General features: G+C 48.8%; 1 annotated feature.

The window, feature by feature from the left end:
- Positions 3,917–4,416: an enhancer, noted in NCBI's record as "H3K4me1 hESC enhancer chr2:239223693-239224192 (GRCh37/hg19 assembly coordinates)". NCBI's record gives its function as "activates a minimal SCP1, AML or CMV promoter by ChIP-STARR-seq in naive H9 embryonic stem cells {active_cell/tissue: H9 hESC(naive)}" and the evidence as "EXISTENCE:reporter gene assay evidence [ECO:0000049][PMID:30033119]".

Here is a 14,131-nt window from a genome sequence, read left to right as displayed (position 1 = left end):
TTCATTTTTACCATTTTCAGGCCTCCTCATTTTTTGTGGAGATCTAAATCGCCATCTGGTGTCATACCCCTCCTGTCTGAAGAACTTCCTTTAATATTTCTTCTAGCACAGTTCAGTTGGTAATGGAAAAGTTATACAGACAACCAATTTCAATGCCAGTCAGGCTGTATGGTTTATCAACAAATACTAAATTGCATTTTTATAGTTTTCCTTCCATGTCCCCCTATAACCACCTCCAGTAAATTCAGCCACAAATATTTATTAAGCATAGAAGTATAGAATTCTAGAGTTGGGAGGTCAGGAGTTCGAGACCAGCCTGACCAACATGGTGAAACCCCGTCTCTACTTAAAATACAAAATATTAGCTGGGTGCAGAGGCGGGCGCCTGTAATCCCAGCTACCAGGAAGGCTGAGGCAAGAGAATCACCTGAACCCAGGAGACAGAGCTTGCAGTGAGCCGAGGTCATGCCACTGCAATCCAGCCTGGGTGACAGAGTGAGACTCCGTCTCAAAAAAAAAAAAAAAGAATTCTAGGGGTACAGTGGCTCACGCCTGTAATCCCAGCACTTTGGGAGCCTGAGGCAGGCAGATCACTTAAGGTCAGGAGTTTGAGACCAGCCTGGCCAAAATGGTGAAAGCCTGTCTCTACTAAAAATATAAAAATTAGCTGGGCGTAGTGGTGTGTGCCTGTAACCCCAGCTACTTGGAAGGCTGAGGCACAAGAATCGCTTGAACCCGGGGGTTGGAGCTTGCAGTGAGCCAAGATGGCACCACTGCACTCCTGCCTGGGCAACAGAGCAAGACTCTGTCTTTAAAAAACAAAAACAAACAAAAAGAAAAGTGTAGCATTCTAGACTGACTGTTTTTGTTTTTCAGTACTTTAAGGATGTTACTCCATTGACTTCTGGCTTGCGTAGTTTCTGAATAAAAGTCTTCCGTAATTCTTTGTTCTTCTGTCTATTGTTTCTGGCTGCCTTCAAGATTTTATTTTTATTATTGGTTTGCCAGAAGTTTGCACATGGTATATCTAGATGTGGGGGTCTCTTCTACTTAAAATTTATATTTTATTATTTACATACAATAAAATTCACACATTTTAAGTGTGCAGGTTGATACATTTTGGTAATTATATACAATTATGTTACCACCACCACAATCAGAATACAGAACAGTCCCTGCACCCTAAAACATTTCTTGCTGCTTATTTGCAGCCCATCTCCTTCCCCACCCCAGCCCCAGGCAGCCACTAATCTGGTTTCTGTCATTATAATTTTGCCTCTTCTAGAGTTTCATATAAATGGAATCATGCAGTACACAGTCTTTTGTATTTCATTATTTCTCTTATATTTTTGAGATTCATTCATATTGTTACACGTATATTAATATGCCATTCCTTTTTGTGGCTGAATGGTATTTCATAGTGTAATTTGTTTATTCATCAGTTGATGGACATTTGGGTTGCTTTCAGTTTTTTATTTTTTATGAATAATGCTGCTGGCCAGGCATGGTGGCTCACACCTGTAATCCCAGCACTTCAGGAGGCTAAGGTGGGCAGATCACTTGAGGTCAGGGATTCAGCACCAGCCTGGCCAATGTGGTGAAACCCTGTCTCTACTAAAAATACAAAAATTAGCCAGTCGTGGTGGGGTGCATCTGTAATTCCAGCTACTCAGGAGGCTGAGGCACAAGAAATGTTTGAATCTGGGAGGCGGAGGTTGCAGTGAGCTGAGATCGTGTTACTGAACTCCAGCTTGGGTGACAGAGTGAGACTCTGTCTCAAAAAAAAAAAAAATGCTGCTATAACCATTCACTTACAAGTCTTTGTGAAAGTTTTCATTTCTCTTGTATTGGAATTGTTGGGTTGTATGGTAAGAATATGTTTAACTCTACAAATACTACCATGCTGTTTTTAAAGTGGCTGCATCATCATTCATTCCCACCAGCAATATATTGAATCCCAAGTTACTCCATATCCCTGCCAACATCTGGTATTGTCAGTCTTTTTGTTTTTCTTCTTCTTTTTGTTTTTGGGTTTTTTTTTTTTTTTTTTTTTTTTGAGATGGAGTGTTGCTCTGTTGCCCAGGCTGGAGTGCAATGGCATGCTCTCAGCTTACTGCAACCTCTGTTTCCTGGGTTCAAGTGATTCTCCTGCTTCAGTCTCCTGAGTAACTGGGATTACAGGCACCCGCCACCATACCCAGCTAATTTTTGTATTGTCAGTAGAGATGGGGTTTCACCATGTTGGCCAGACTGGTCTCGAACTCCTGACCTCAGGTGATCTGCCCGCCTTGGCCTCCCAAAGTGCTGGGATTACAGGTGTGAGCCACTGTGCCCAGCCTGTCAGTCTTCCCACCTGCACCCCCCCGCCACCCCGCAGACAGAGTCTTGCTCTGTCGCCCAGGCTGGAGTGCAGTGGCACTGTCTTGGCTCACTGCAAGCTCCGCCTCCCGTGTTCATGCCATTCTCCTGCCTCAGCCTCCTGAGTAGCTGGGACTACAGGTGCCTGCCACCACGCCCAGATATTTTTTGTATTTTTTAGTAGAGACAGGGTTTCACCATGTCGGCCAGGATGGTCTCAATCTCCTGACCTCAAGATCTACCCACCTCAGCCTCCCAAAGTGCTGGGATTACAGGCGTGAGCCACCGCACCCGGCCCCTGTCAGTCTTTTTTAACGTTCATCTTTCTACGGGTGTGGAATGGTGTCTTGTTATGGTTCCTATTTACATTTCTGTAGTGATTAGTGATTTTGAGCATATTTCCCTGCCCTTGCTAAATATTCATATATCTCTAGTGAAGATACCACATCAAGTATCATTCAAGCATTTACTGAATCACTGCTATGTATGGATTACTGTCTGAGTGCTGGGGATTTAATGGGGAGTTAAGACCTTCTAGAAGGCAGCGTCCATGCTGTCCACTGGTCCTAGGAACATCACTCCTCATGCTGCTAACTATATCCAGGACCAAGTGAGCTTTGGTCACCTAGACAGAGGCCAGATGAAAGGGGCCAGGGCTCATCTCCTTCTAACTGTTGGCCTTGCTTCCTCCTACACTGCACCTTGCAGGTGGGCTGGCTGTGTGAGACTCGGCCGAGAGGCTGGGAGACACCTAAGAGAGAGACAGCCCATGATAGAGGGAATTTAACGACACTCACCATATAGAACCATCCCATGCTCCGTGGGGAAAACAAGCCCCCAAAGAGTTGCACCCTCAGAGGGATTCCATCTTGGCTGCTCTCCGTTTATAACCCTACTCCTTGGCCAGAGCACCACCAGCCTCTGACTCCTGCCTCATGAAATCTTCCTGACTCTGGAAACTCCACTCCCAACCCACAGAAGCTTTTGTGATCTTCCATCCATCCCCTTTCTCTCAGCACTACACTTCCCAGAGTATATGGTCTCCAGTCCAGACTCACACCATCCCAAGGACCTCTGCAGGACAGTCCACTGTGACATTTGGCACTGCAGTCCCTTGGAACAGTCCAGGATGACGGTGGACACTGAATCACTGAATCACGCTCCTTCTAGGGCTCCCAAATTCCCATTCTTCTCCTGATTGTCCACACGTGTCCTTATCACACACGTACCTCCTTCCCAAGAACAAGCATTAATTAAACAGTTCATCAAACCCCATAAAGAAAAATAAATAGTTTCCATACTGCCCTGTCATTTGCCAACATCCCCCACCCAGTGAAACTAACACTTCCCATGAACATGGAGAATGCTGTTAGCTCCCTTCATTCCTGCATTTCACCTTTCCTGCCCACCACCCAACCTCTCCTCAGGCCTCCCTGAAAGTTTTTATAGGGGAGGAGCATGGTGAGACTGTACTTCTTCGTGGCTGGGCCCTCATTTCGCAGAGGCTGGCCTAAAGCTCTGAAACGATGAAGCCCTTAGACAAGACTGCAGCAGCCTCCTGCTCCCAGGTGTTAGAGAGAGGGCGGTCATCTTCACAGGATGACAGGGCCCTCCAGGGGTGCTGCACCAGATGCAGGTGATGCTGTGGTGGCTGAAAGCGGGAGAGTCTTCCCAAACTGGAGGAAGCCCGGCTGGGCCGCCTTCCCTGATCTGCCCACCATGGCCAAGCTGGGAGCCAAGAGGCTCCTGCAAGGGCCCATCCGTCTCTGAGCTCTGAGCTGGCTGGGGTCAGCCTGAGCAGCGGTGGAAGGAGCACAGAGACCACAAGCGCCCTGCCTTCGGAACAATGTTCCCAAGAGCAGAGCTCCCCGGCCCCCGCCCCAGAAAGTCCCATCTGGGCAGTATCCTCCTCTGGGCCTGATGGCCAGAAACCCGCTTGTCTGACAGTGGCCAGCCTGAGTGGTGGGAGAGGTAGGTGTGGCCTGGAGAACACTTGGGCCCCTGAGGTTCGGACCCTGAACCAGTGCTGCTCAAAGGGGAAGCTGGTTCCTATCTCTCCCCCAGCCTATGGAGAGCAGGAGCCGTGTGGGCCAAGGCCTTGTGGAGGCCTTGAGGGCACAGGGCCTGGCTGTTTGGAACTGTGAGCCATCAGAGACCCTCCTGCCCACCTGGGCATCAGGAGCTCTGAGAAGATCTGGGACAAGGGAGCAGAGTCACCCAGTCCCACCGAGATCCTTACGGAGGCGGGGAGGTGGCCAGGGAGTGGACATGCGTCCCTGGACAGTGCAGTGCTTGAGGAGCATGGACTGTCTTCCATGCCACCCACTGTGTCTCATGAGGCCCCAACACTGCCTCAAGGTGAGTCCTCACCCTCTGCACAGAGCGGGAGGGCGGATGGGCATCCGGGGTGCTTGGAAAGCAGGCCTAAGAAGAGGCAGCTAAGGATTCCTGACTCCAAGAAAGAGACCTGCAACCAGGGCCTCCCAGGGCAGGAGGGTGCAGAGGGCAGCCTGAAGCCTCCAGTTCTAACGGCTCCAAGCCAGGTACAAGGTAGGAGGGACGATGTACCCTAAATTACCCCTAAGCTTCTCAGAGTCCTAAAAGCATCAGAGGGAAAGGCAGAGAACATAAAAAAGAGTCATTCATAAAAAAAAAAAAAAAGATAATTGATTAAACAACTATAGAAAATCACAGCAAAGAAAGTGTTGGAAACATAAAAGGCTGGCAGGAGATGTTTTGAAATGAACAGTTTCTGAATGAATGATAACCATGGCCCTGACTCGCTCCAGGAGAGAGAAGCCACAAAGCTTCCAATGTGTCTTCCAGGCCCTGCCTCCCCTCACCGGGAGGCAGACATTCCCAGAGACAAAGGCCTGGGGAGGCTGACTTGGCCCCACCCTGAACTCCATTTCTACCAAGAGCCCAAGATGTGGGTCAGGCTTTGGGAAGGGCTGGGGAGCAGATACCAGGTCAGAGAAGTGCAGAGCTGCAGATGGGCTCACCAGCCCTGGATCCACAAGGAAGTGGGGTGGGGGGTCACTATGGAGCAAATGCATGTCCACTGGGCAGAGACAGGGGAACTAGGCCCAAGAGGCCCAGCAGAAACAGAGTTCCATCACAAGCAGGAAGTGTTTGCTGTGACTGTCGCATCTGCTTCCCCAGCTTGGGGTACAAAAGAAGGTCCCCCACCTTTCTGAAATCCAGCTCAGATATTCTCACCCCCCGACCCCCGTCACTGAATCTTTATGTCTGCCTTGTGCAAGCTGGACGGCCCTCTGGGTCCCACAAAGGGTATGGGGGTGCAATACATAGCGAGCAGACCATAATACTTGGAGCTCTCCCCCATGGGCAGTCCGAGGGAAAGATTCACTACCCTCCCTCTCACAGGCCCTCAGGCCCTTCCAGGAGGGTCCCATGACTTTGAAGGGGCAGGGGCCTGGGTCCCATCATCCACCAAAGGCCTCTGAGCCACCCATGCCAATTTCCCAACAATCTTAAGCTCTGCTGGTAAGTAGCCACTCTTGGGTGAGGGGTGTAAGATTCTGCCTCCCCAGGCAGCCCAAGACACCCTTCCTTTGCCCCAGTCAATGCAAAGATGACACCAGGAGGGTGGAGCTGGGGAATCCTGCACGCCACAGGCCCCAACCACATCTGAGAAGAGAGACCACCATGAGTAAGAAGTTTTCAGGTGTCTCAAGGGAGCCCCTACTTATACTCCTGGCAGATACTCTCCACTCTGATTAAGTTACACAGAGCACGTTTTATTATTTTTGTAATTTAGTTTTATATTTTTGCCATGTCATTTATTTTTTCTTCCCCTTCCCTGCAGCTTTACAAAGGTATAATTGGCAAATAAAAATTGTATATATTTACAGTGTACAAAATGATGTTTTGATTTATGTATATATTGGGAAATGATTAAAATAAGCAAATTCATATATCCATTTCCTCTCATCTTTTTTTGCAGTGAGACCGTGTAAGATCTCTCTCAGGAATTTTCAAGTATATAATTAATACATTATTACTAACTACAGTTACCATGCTATACATTAATCTCCAGGATTTACTCAGCCTGTCCAACTGAAATGTTGTACCCTTTAACCAACATACCCGCATTTCATACACACAAACACTCCCCAGTCCCTGACAACCACCATTCTACTCTCTGCTTCTATGAGTTCAACTTTGGATTCCACATATGAGTTGAGATCATGCAATATTTGTCTTTTTGTTTCTGGCTTCTTTCTTTCTTTCTTTCTTTCTTTTTTTTTTTTTTTTGACATGGAGTCTCGCTCTGTCGCCCAGGCTGGAGTACAGTGGTGTGATCTCAGTTCACTGCAACTTCTGCCTCCTGGGTTTAAGTGATTCTCCTGCCTCAGCCTCCCAAGTAGCTTGGATTACAGGTGCCCGCCACCACGCCTGGCTAATCTTTGTATTTTTAGTAGAGACGGGGTTTCACCATGTTGGCCAGGCTGGTCTTGAACTCCTGACCTCAAGTGATCTGCCTGCCTCAGCCTCCCAAAGTGCTGGGATTACAGGCGTGAGCCACTGCACCTGGCCAGCTTATTTCATTTAACATAATGTCCTCTATGTTCATCCATCCAAGAAAAGGACAGAATTTCCCTCTTTAAGGCTGACTCGTATTCCATGGTGTGTAAATCCCACATTTTCTGTATTCCATTTATTTGCTAATGGACACTTAGGTTCATACCATGTCTTGGCCATTGTGTATAATGCTGGGATGACCATGGGAGTACAATTACCTCTTTGACATACTGATTTCATATCCTTCAGGCATCTACCCAGAAGTAGGACTGCTGGATCATAAGGTAGTTCTATTTTTTGGCCAGGCACAGTGGCTCATGCCTATAATCCCAGCACTTTGGGAGGCCAAGGCAGGCGGATCACTTGAGATCAGGAGTTCGAGACCAGCCTGGCCAATGGAGTGAAACCCCGTCTCTACTAAAAATACAAAAATTAGCCAGCCGTGGTGGCATGCGCCTGTAGTCCCAGCTACTCGGGAGGCTGAGGCACGAGAATCACTCGAACTCAGGAGGTGGAGGTTGCAGTGATCTGAGATCATGCCACTGCATTCTAGCCTGGGCAACAGAGTGAGACTCAGTCTCAAAAGTAAATAAATACATAAATAAAATAAGGTAGTTCTATTGGTAGTTCTTTGAGGAACTTTTATATTGTTTTCAATAATGGCTGCGCTAATTCCCATCCCCACCAACAGTGTATGGGGTTCCCTTTCTCCATATCCTCACTGACATTGTTATCCTTTGTCTCTTTGATCATAACTTTCTCCCACATGTGAGATGATAATGACTTGTGGTTTTAATTTGCCTTTTCCTGATGATTGGTAATATTGAGCATTTTTTCATATGCCTGTTGGCCATTTATCTGTGTGCCTTCTTTTGAGAAATGCCTATTTGAGTCCTTCACCCATTTTTGAATTGGGTTATTTGTTCTCCTCGCCATGGACTTGTTTGAGTTCTTTATATATTTTGGATATTAACCCTTTATCAGATGTATAATTTGCAAATATTTTCTCCCATTCTGCTCATTGTCTCTTCACTCTGCTGATTGTATCCTTTGCTGTACAGAAGCGTTTTAGTTTGATATTATCCCATTTGCCTATTTCTGCTTCCACAGCCTGTACTTTTGGGGTCCTATTCAAAGAGTCATTGCCCAGACCACTGTCAAGAAGGTTTTTCCCAATGTTTTCTTCTATGGTTTTATAGTTTGGGGTCTGAAATTTAAGTCTTTAATCCATTTTGAGCTGATTTTTGTATATGGTGCAAGATGAGGGTCTGGTTTCATTCTTTTGCATATGGATCTAGTTCTCCCAACACCGTTTATTGAAGAAATCATCATTTCCCCAATGTGTGTTCTTGGCATTTTTTTTTTTTGAGGCAGAGTGTCACTTGCCCTGCGTCCAAGACTGGAGTGCAATGACACAACCATAGTTCACTGTAACCCCAAGTTCCTGGGCTCAAGCAATCCTCCTACCTCAGCCTCTGAAGTAGCTGGGATTACAGGCGTGTGCCACCATGCTCAGCTAATTTTTTGTCTGTTTGTTTTTGAGATGAAGTCTCGCTCTGTTGCACAGGCTGGAGTGCAGTAGTGCGATCTCGGCTCACTGCAACCTCCACTTCCTGGGTTCAAGCGATTCTCCTGCCTCAGCGTCCCCGAGTAGCTGGGACTACAGGCATGTGCCACCACGCTCGGCTAATTTTTTTGTGTTTTTCGTAGAGATGGGGTTTCGCCACATTGGTCAAGCTGGTCTCAAACTCCTGACCTCAAATGATCCACCTGCCTCAGCCTCCCAAAATGCTGGGATTACAAGCGTGAGCCACTGCGCCCGGCCATCAGCTAATTTTTATTTTTTTTTGTAGAGATAGGATGTTGCTATATTGTCTAAGCTGCTCTTGAACTCCTGGGGTCAAGCTATCCTCCCACCTCAGCCTCCTAAAATACCAAAATTACAGGTGTGAGCCACTACCTCTGGCCTCTTGGCACTTTTGTTGAAGGTAAATTGACTGAGCCCTCCAACCTGAAATATCCCACCTGCCACTCCCTGAAAGCCTGCAGTTGACTCCCACTGACCCCAGGAGTCCTCCTCCAAGCTCCGGCGGTGCTGTCCAGCTCCCCCTGGCCCATGCTTAAACAAGGGCATGACTTTCCCCAGCTAGTGCACAAGGTCCAGGAAGGCTGGGACAGGGTCCATATGTCTCCTCAGGGCACCCCATGAATACTGGCTGCATGAACGTGTGGGTGCCTGAAGGAGGAAGGAGGAAGTCTTTAAAAAGGAGTGGCGCAGCCGGGCGCCAGAAACAAAACCTGGCCAGGCGCAGTGGCTTACGCCTGTAATCCCAGCACTCTTGGGGGACGAGGCGGGCAGATCACGCGGTCAGGAGATCGAGACCATCCTGGCTAACACGGTGAAACCGCATCTCTACTAAAAATACAAAAAATTAGACGGGTGTGGTGGCGGGCGCTTGTAGTCCCAGCTACGCAGGAGGCTGAGGCAGGAGAAGGGCATGAACCCGGGAGGCGGAGCTTGCAGTGAGCTGAGATCATGCCACTGCACTCCAGCCTGGGTGACAGAGCGAGACTCCGTCTCAAAAAAAAAAAGGCGTGGCCCTCTCAGCTATGGCTGCCTTGGCCCTGTGGTGGGTGCTGTGCCACTCAGGGCTGAGGCCCACACTGCCCCAGCTGCCAGAAGCAGTGATCCCTGTGGGCTCACAGCCAGGTTCCCTTCTGGGGAGACTTAGCCAAAGGGGCCTACTGTGCCTCCTGCTCCCTATGGGCACCCGCATTCAAGGGCTGATGGAGTTGGGGGTGCAAACCCAGTTTCCCAGAGATCTCTACCCAAGAGAGTTGCTCTCAGAAGTGGTCAGAGGAAATGGACCCTAAATTGAGATTTCGGAGCTGAATCACCACTGACCGGCTCAACTGAAGCCCCCAGGGTGGGCGTGAGAGACCACTGTCTCAAAAACAAACAAACAAACAAACAAACAAACTAGAATCCCCAGATTCTCCTGAATCATCTGGACCTACAGAGGAGGCCCACTGCTCCTGTTAAAGGCTAGCACCCCCTTTCTTGAAGTGTTTTATATAGAGAGAATGTGTGTGTTATAGTTGGGGGGCGGGGGGAGAGAGAGAGAGAGATGTCTGCCTTGCAAGACAATGCATGCGTTTTTCAGGATCTATGCCAATATCCCCCTCCTGACACCAGACCAATCATGAGGGTCAAACAACAACATAACCTAGCTAGGACATGCTGGCCTGCTAAGGGAGGGAGGGACTCTATTCCGAAGGAACTGCAGGATCTGCCTAGCATGGACCAGCAAGATCCAGGAGAGCACATCCAGGACTGCATCCCAAGAGTGCTGGACCCAGCAGGGGACAGAATATAAAGACGGATAAGACAAGAGTTGATGAATGTGGGAGGACTTTCCGTGATAGAAGCTTGTGACCCTGGCTGGGTCCCAGGGAGACAGTGCTAATGGGCTGTTAGAATGGCTCTTGGACACCTGCAAAGAGCTATGGCCTTCACTAAGTGAAGGAAAACTTCCAGCCCCACCATGGAGGATGGTAGGGAAATGAGCCTACTAGAGCACATACGTGATGTTGGGCCAGCAAACCTACCAGCCCACTGTGTCCTGTGAGAGGGCTCGGAGGTCACTTCATTTACCAAAGTGACAATATTTGGCATGTAATATTGGTTTTTATAGCCAAGAGTGGCAAGGTCAGAGTGGTAGCCAGGAAGACCTGACATGCAGAGAGCTATGCGGCCGGATAATACAACAAAATGTTCCTAGGGACCAGGGGAATGAGCAGTCAGCAAGGGTGTGGCCGAGCTTTCGAAACTAAAATAAATCAAACATGGATGAGCAGGAGGCTGAGAGTGGCTGCCCCAGTCCCCCGCTACAATCCCTTGCCTGGTTTTGGACCTAGAACTCATTGAAAGGCCAGGTTCCCAACATCACTGCCGGTGCAGGGAGCCAAAATCTCCCCCACAGTCCTTCCCCAAAGAAACCTAAGGCCACTCATTCAAGTAACTATACACAGGGAGGGGGAATACAGAACCATTTCAAGGACTATTGCACACAGAATCCTGGGGACATGGAGCATCATCTTGACTCCTGTTAAAGGGAGGGCATACGGGGTCAGGTGATAGAGCCCTAGCCCCACTTTGGATTTTGGTAGGTCCACAGGGTCCATGGAGCCACCTGGTGGTCATTTCCCGAGCCCTCAAATGCAATGATTGAAGTGGACACACTTGGCATATGGGGTAACCCCATGTTGGCCAGATACTTGGGATTGTGGAATAAGAGCTATAGACCTGGGAAGCTGAGTGGGAATCCCTGACACTGCCCCTCCCCCAGCCAAGACAGTAAATAAAAACCAATATTGCATGCTGAAGAGAGTTACAGCAATTATAAGGGACGAATAGATTCCACTGTTAAAACCTGAAGGATGCAGGTATACTTTCTCCCCATTATAGAGTCATTTAATTAGCCAAACCCCTGCAAAAACCACATGGATCCTGGGGATTGACAGTGGAATACTGCAAACCCAAACAAATAGGAGCCCCAATTGTGGTATCTTTGCTATAGCAGGTCAACACAATCTCAAGTCCATGGTAGGAAGCCAATACATTCATTTCCATCCCTACTTAAGAGGAGAACCAGAAGCCGCTTACATTCATTTAGGATGGATAAGAGTACACATTGGCTGGGCACGGTGGCTCACACCAATAATCCCAGCACTTTGGATCTGAGGTGGGCAGATCATCAGATCACCTGAGGTCATGAGTTTGAGACCAGCCTGGCCAACATGGTGAAACCCCATCTCTACTAAAAATACACAAAATTAGCCGGGTGCGGTGGGCGCTTGTAATCCCAGCTATTCAGGAGGCCGAGGCAGGAGAATCGCTTGAACCTGGGAGGTGGAGGTTGCAGTGAGCCGAGATTGCACCACTGCACTCCAGCCTGGGCAACAGATTGAGACTCCGTCTTAAGAAAACAAAAAAGAAGAAGAAGAAGAAGAATACACACTGATTGTCTCACCCCAGGGCCATATTAACTCTTTTCCCTCTTTCCTAATATAGTCTGGATGGACCAGACACTCTGCACAATGCTGCACTGGTTCAGTATACTGATATCCTATTAATTAAACTGGATGACCAGATTGACGAGGAGAAACCTCAGAGGCCTTATTAAGGTGCGTGTGCTGCAGAGGGTGGGAGAGAAACCCTGTGAAGTTCCAGGCGTCTGCTGCATCGGTGAAGTTTTTAGGGGCCCAGTGGTTGGAGCTTAACAGGCATCTCCACAGTGAAGGAAGGACTACATTGTGTACTTCCCACCACTAAGAAGGACCACGAGGACTGGTCGCCTCTGTGGGTTCTGGAGGCAGCACGTGCCACACTTGGGAATACTGCGTGGTCACATTTACCAGGTGGTGTGAAAGGCTGCCAGCATGGGGAAGAACGCTGCAGTGGGCACAGGCTATGGTGCTAGCAATCCAGCAAATTAGGCCAAATGATCTGGAAGATGCTATGGTTCTAGAGATACCTATGGTGGAAAAGATGCCTTGTTGCTTTAAATCTCTGAGTGTGTGATAACTTCATGGCAAACCCCCAGTGGGAGAATCACAACCTGGACCCTGGGGGTTCTGGAGTAAGGCCACGCTATCTGCAGCAAAGGAAGACAGATGCTGGTATGCCTCTGCACCCTAGCAGAGCGGAAGACACCAAGCGGTGATCACACCACTAGAGCTGCCTGCCTTGAGCCGGGCTCTGCCAGGGCCTCCAGGGCATAGGTCAGGCATGCTCGACAGAAATCTATGATAAGATGAAAGGGCACATCCAGCACTGGGCTTATGCAGGGCCAGAGCCACAGATAAACTGCACAAGACCCTCCTATCATCTGCCTCTGTTGCACCACTGGAGGTCCCTCACCTTCATCACTGCTGTGTTGGGTGGCGGTGTCACTTATGACCACCTAGTGGAGGAAGAAATAGGCCGAGCTTGGTTCATGCATGGGTTGGCTCAGTGTGGGATGCAAAAAATGCCTAAAAATAGATAGCTGCTGCACTGCAGCCTCACTCCGGGGCCTCCCTGAAAGGCAGTGCTGACAGACTGCCTCTCCCAATCTCCCCATGGACAGAAACTTGGTGTATTAGTTCATTGTTGCTGCTGTAACCAATTTCCAAAAACTTGGGAGTTTAAAACAACACAAATGGAATCTCTTACAATTCTGGAGGTCAGAGCTGAAACTGGGTGTTACTGGGCTGAAGTCAAGGTGTGGTCAGGGCTGTAATCCTTCTGGAGGCTCTAGGGGAGAATCCATTTCTTCTCCTTTTTCAGCTTCTAGAAGCTACCTGCATTCTCTGGCTCATGCACCCTTTCCAGAAACGACATCATTTTAACGTCTGTTTCTATGGCCACGCCTTCTTCTCGGACTTTGGCCCTCCTGGCTCCCTCTTCCACTTTTTTTTTTTTTTTTTTTTTTGAGATGGAATTTCGCTCTGTTGCCCAGGCTGGAGTGCGATTGTGCGATCTTGGCTCACTGCAACCTCCACCTCCTGGGTTCAAGTGATTCTCTTGCCTCAGCCTCCCGAGCAGCTGGGATTACAGGTGCCCGCCACCAGGCCCAGCTAATTTTTTTTGTATTTTTAGTAGAGAGAGGGTTTCACCATGTTGGTCAGGCTGGTCTCGAACTCCTGACCTCAGGTGATCCACCCGCCTCAGCCTCTGAAAGTGCTAGGGTTACAGGCGTGAGCCACCACACCCGGCCTCCCTCTTTCACTTATAAGGACATTTATGATTACATTGGGCCACCCAGATAATCCAGGATAATGTTCCCATCTCAAGATCCTCAATGTAATGACATCTGCAAAGTCCCTTTTACCCTGTACCAAAACAGATGTACAGGTTCCAGACATGGGCGTGTGTGGGGGCCCACCGTTCTGCCCACCATGCTTAGGCAGTACACGTAGCTCTCCATTTTGTGTAGAAAGAGAAGTGGCTTGGCATAAGAATATGTTCAGACCCATGGACAGCGGCAAAAGACGGCTGTTGCTGCTCTGGGCCTGGAAAATTCAAAGGTTGGGGACCAGGAGTTTAGTGGAAGGGTCATGCATGCAGCTAGGACCATGGGAGTGGACAGGCATGTGAAGGTCTCTGTATCCCTGCTAACAGCCACCAGAGAGCACCACCATGGAAAAGGCACCCAGCAGCCATGTAGGAAGATGCTTTGGCCGT

This window comes from Homo sapiens, chromosome 2, assembly GCF_000001405.40.
Source record: "Homo sapiens chromosome 2, GRCh38.p14 Primary Assembly".
NCBI classification, from domain to species: Eukaryota; Metazoa; Chordata; class Mammalia; order Primates; family Hominidae; genus Homo; species Homo sapiens.
The sequence above is the reverse complement of the archived record's forward strand: the minus strand, read 5'-3'. Positions and strand labels throughout refer to the sequence as shown.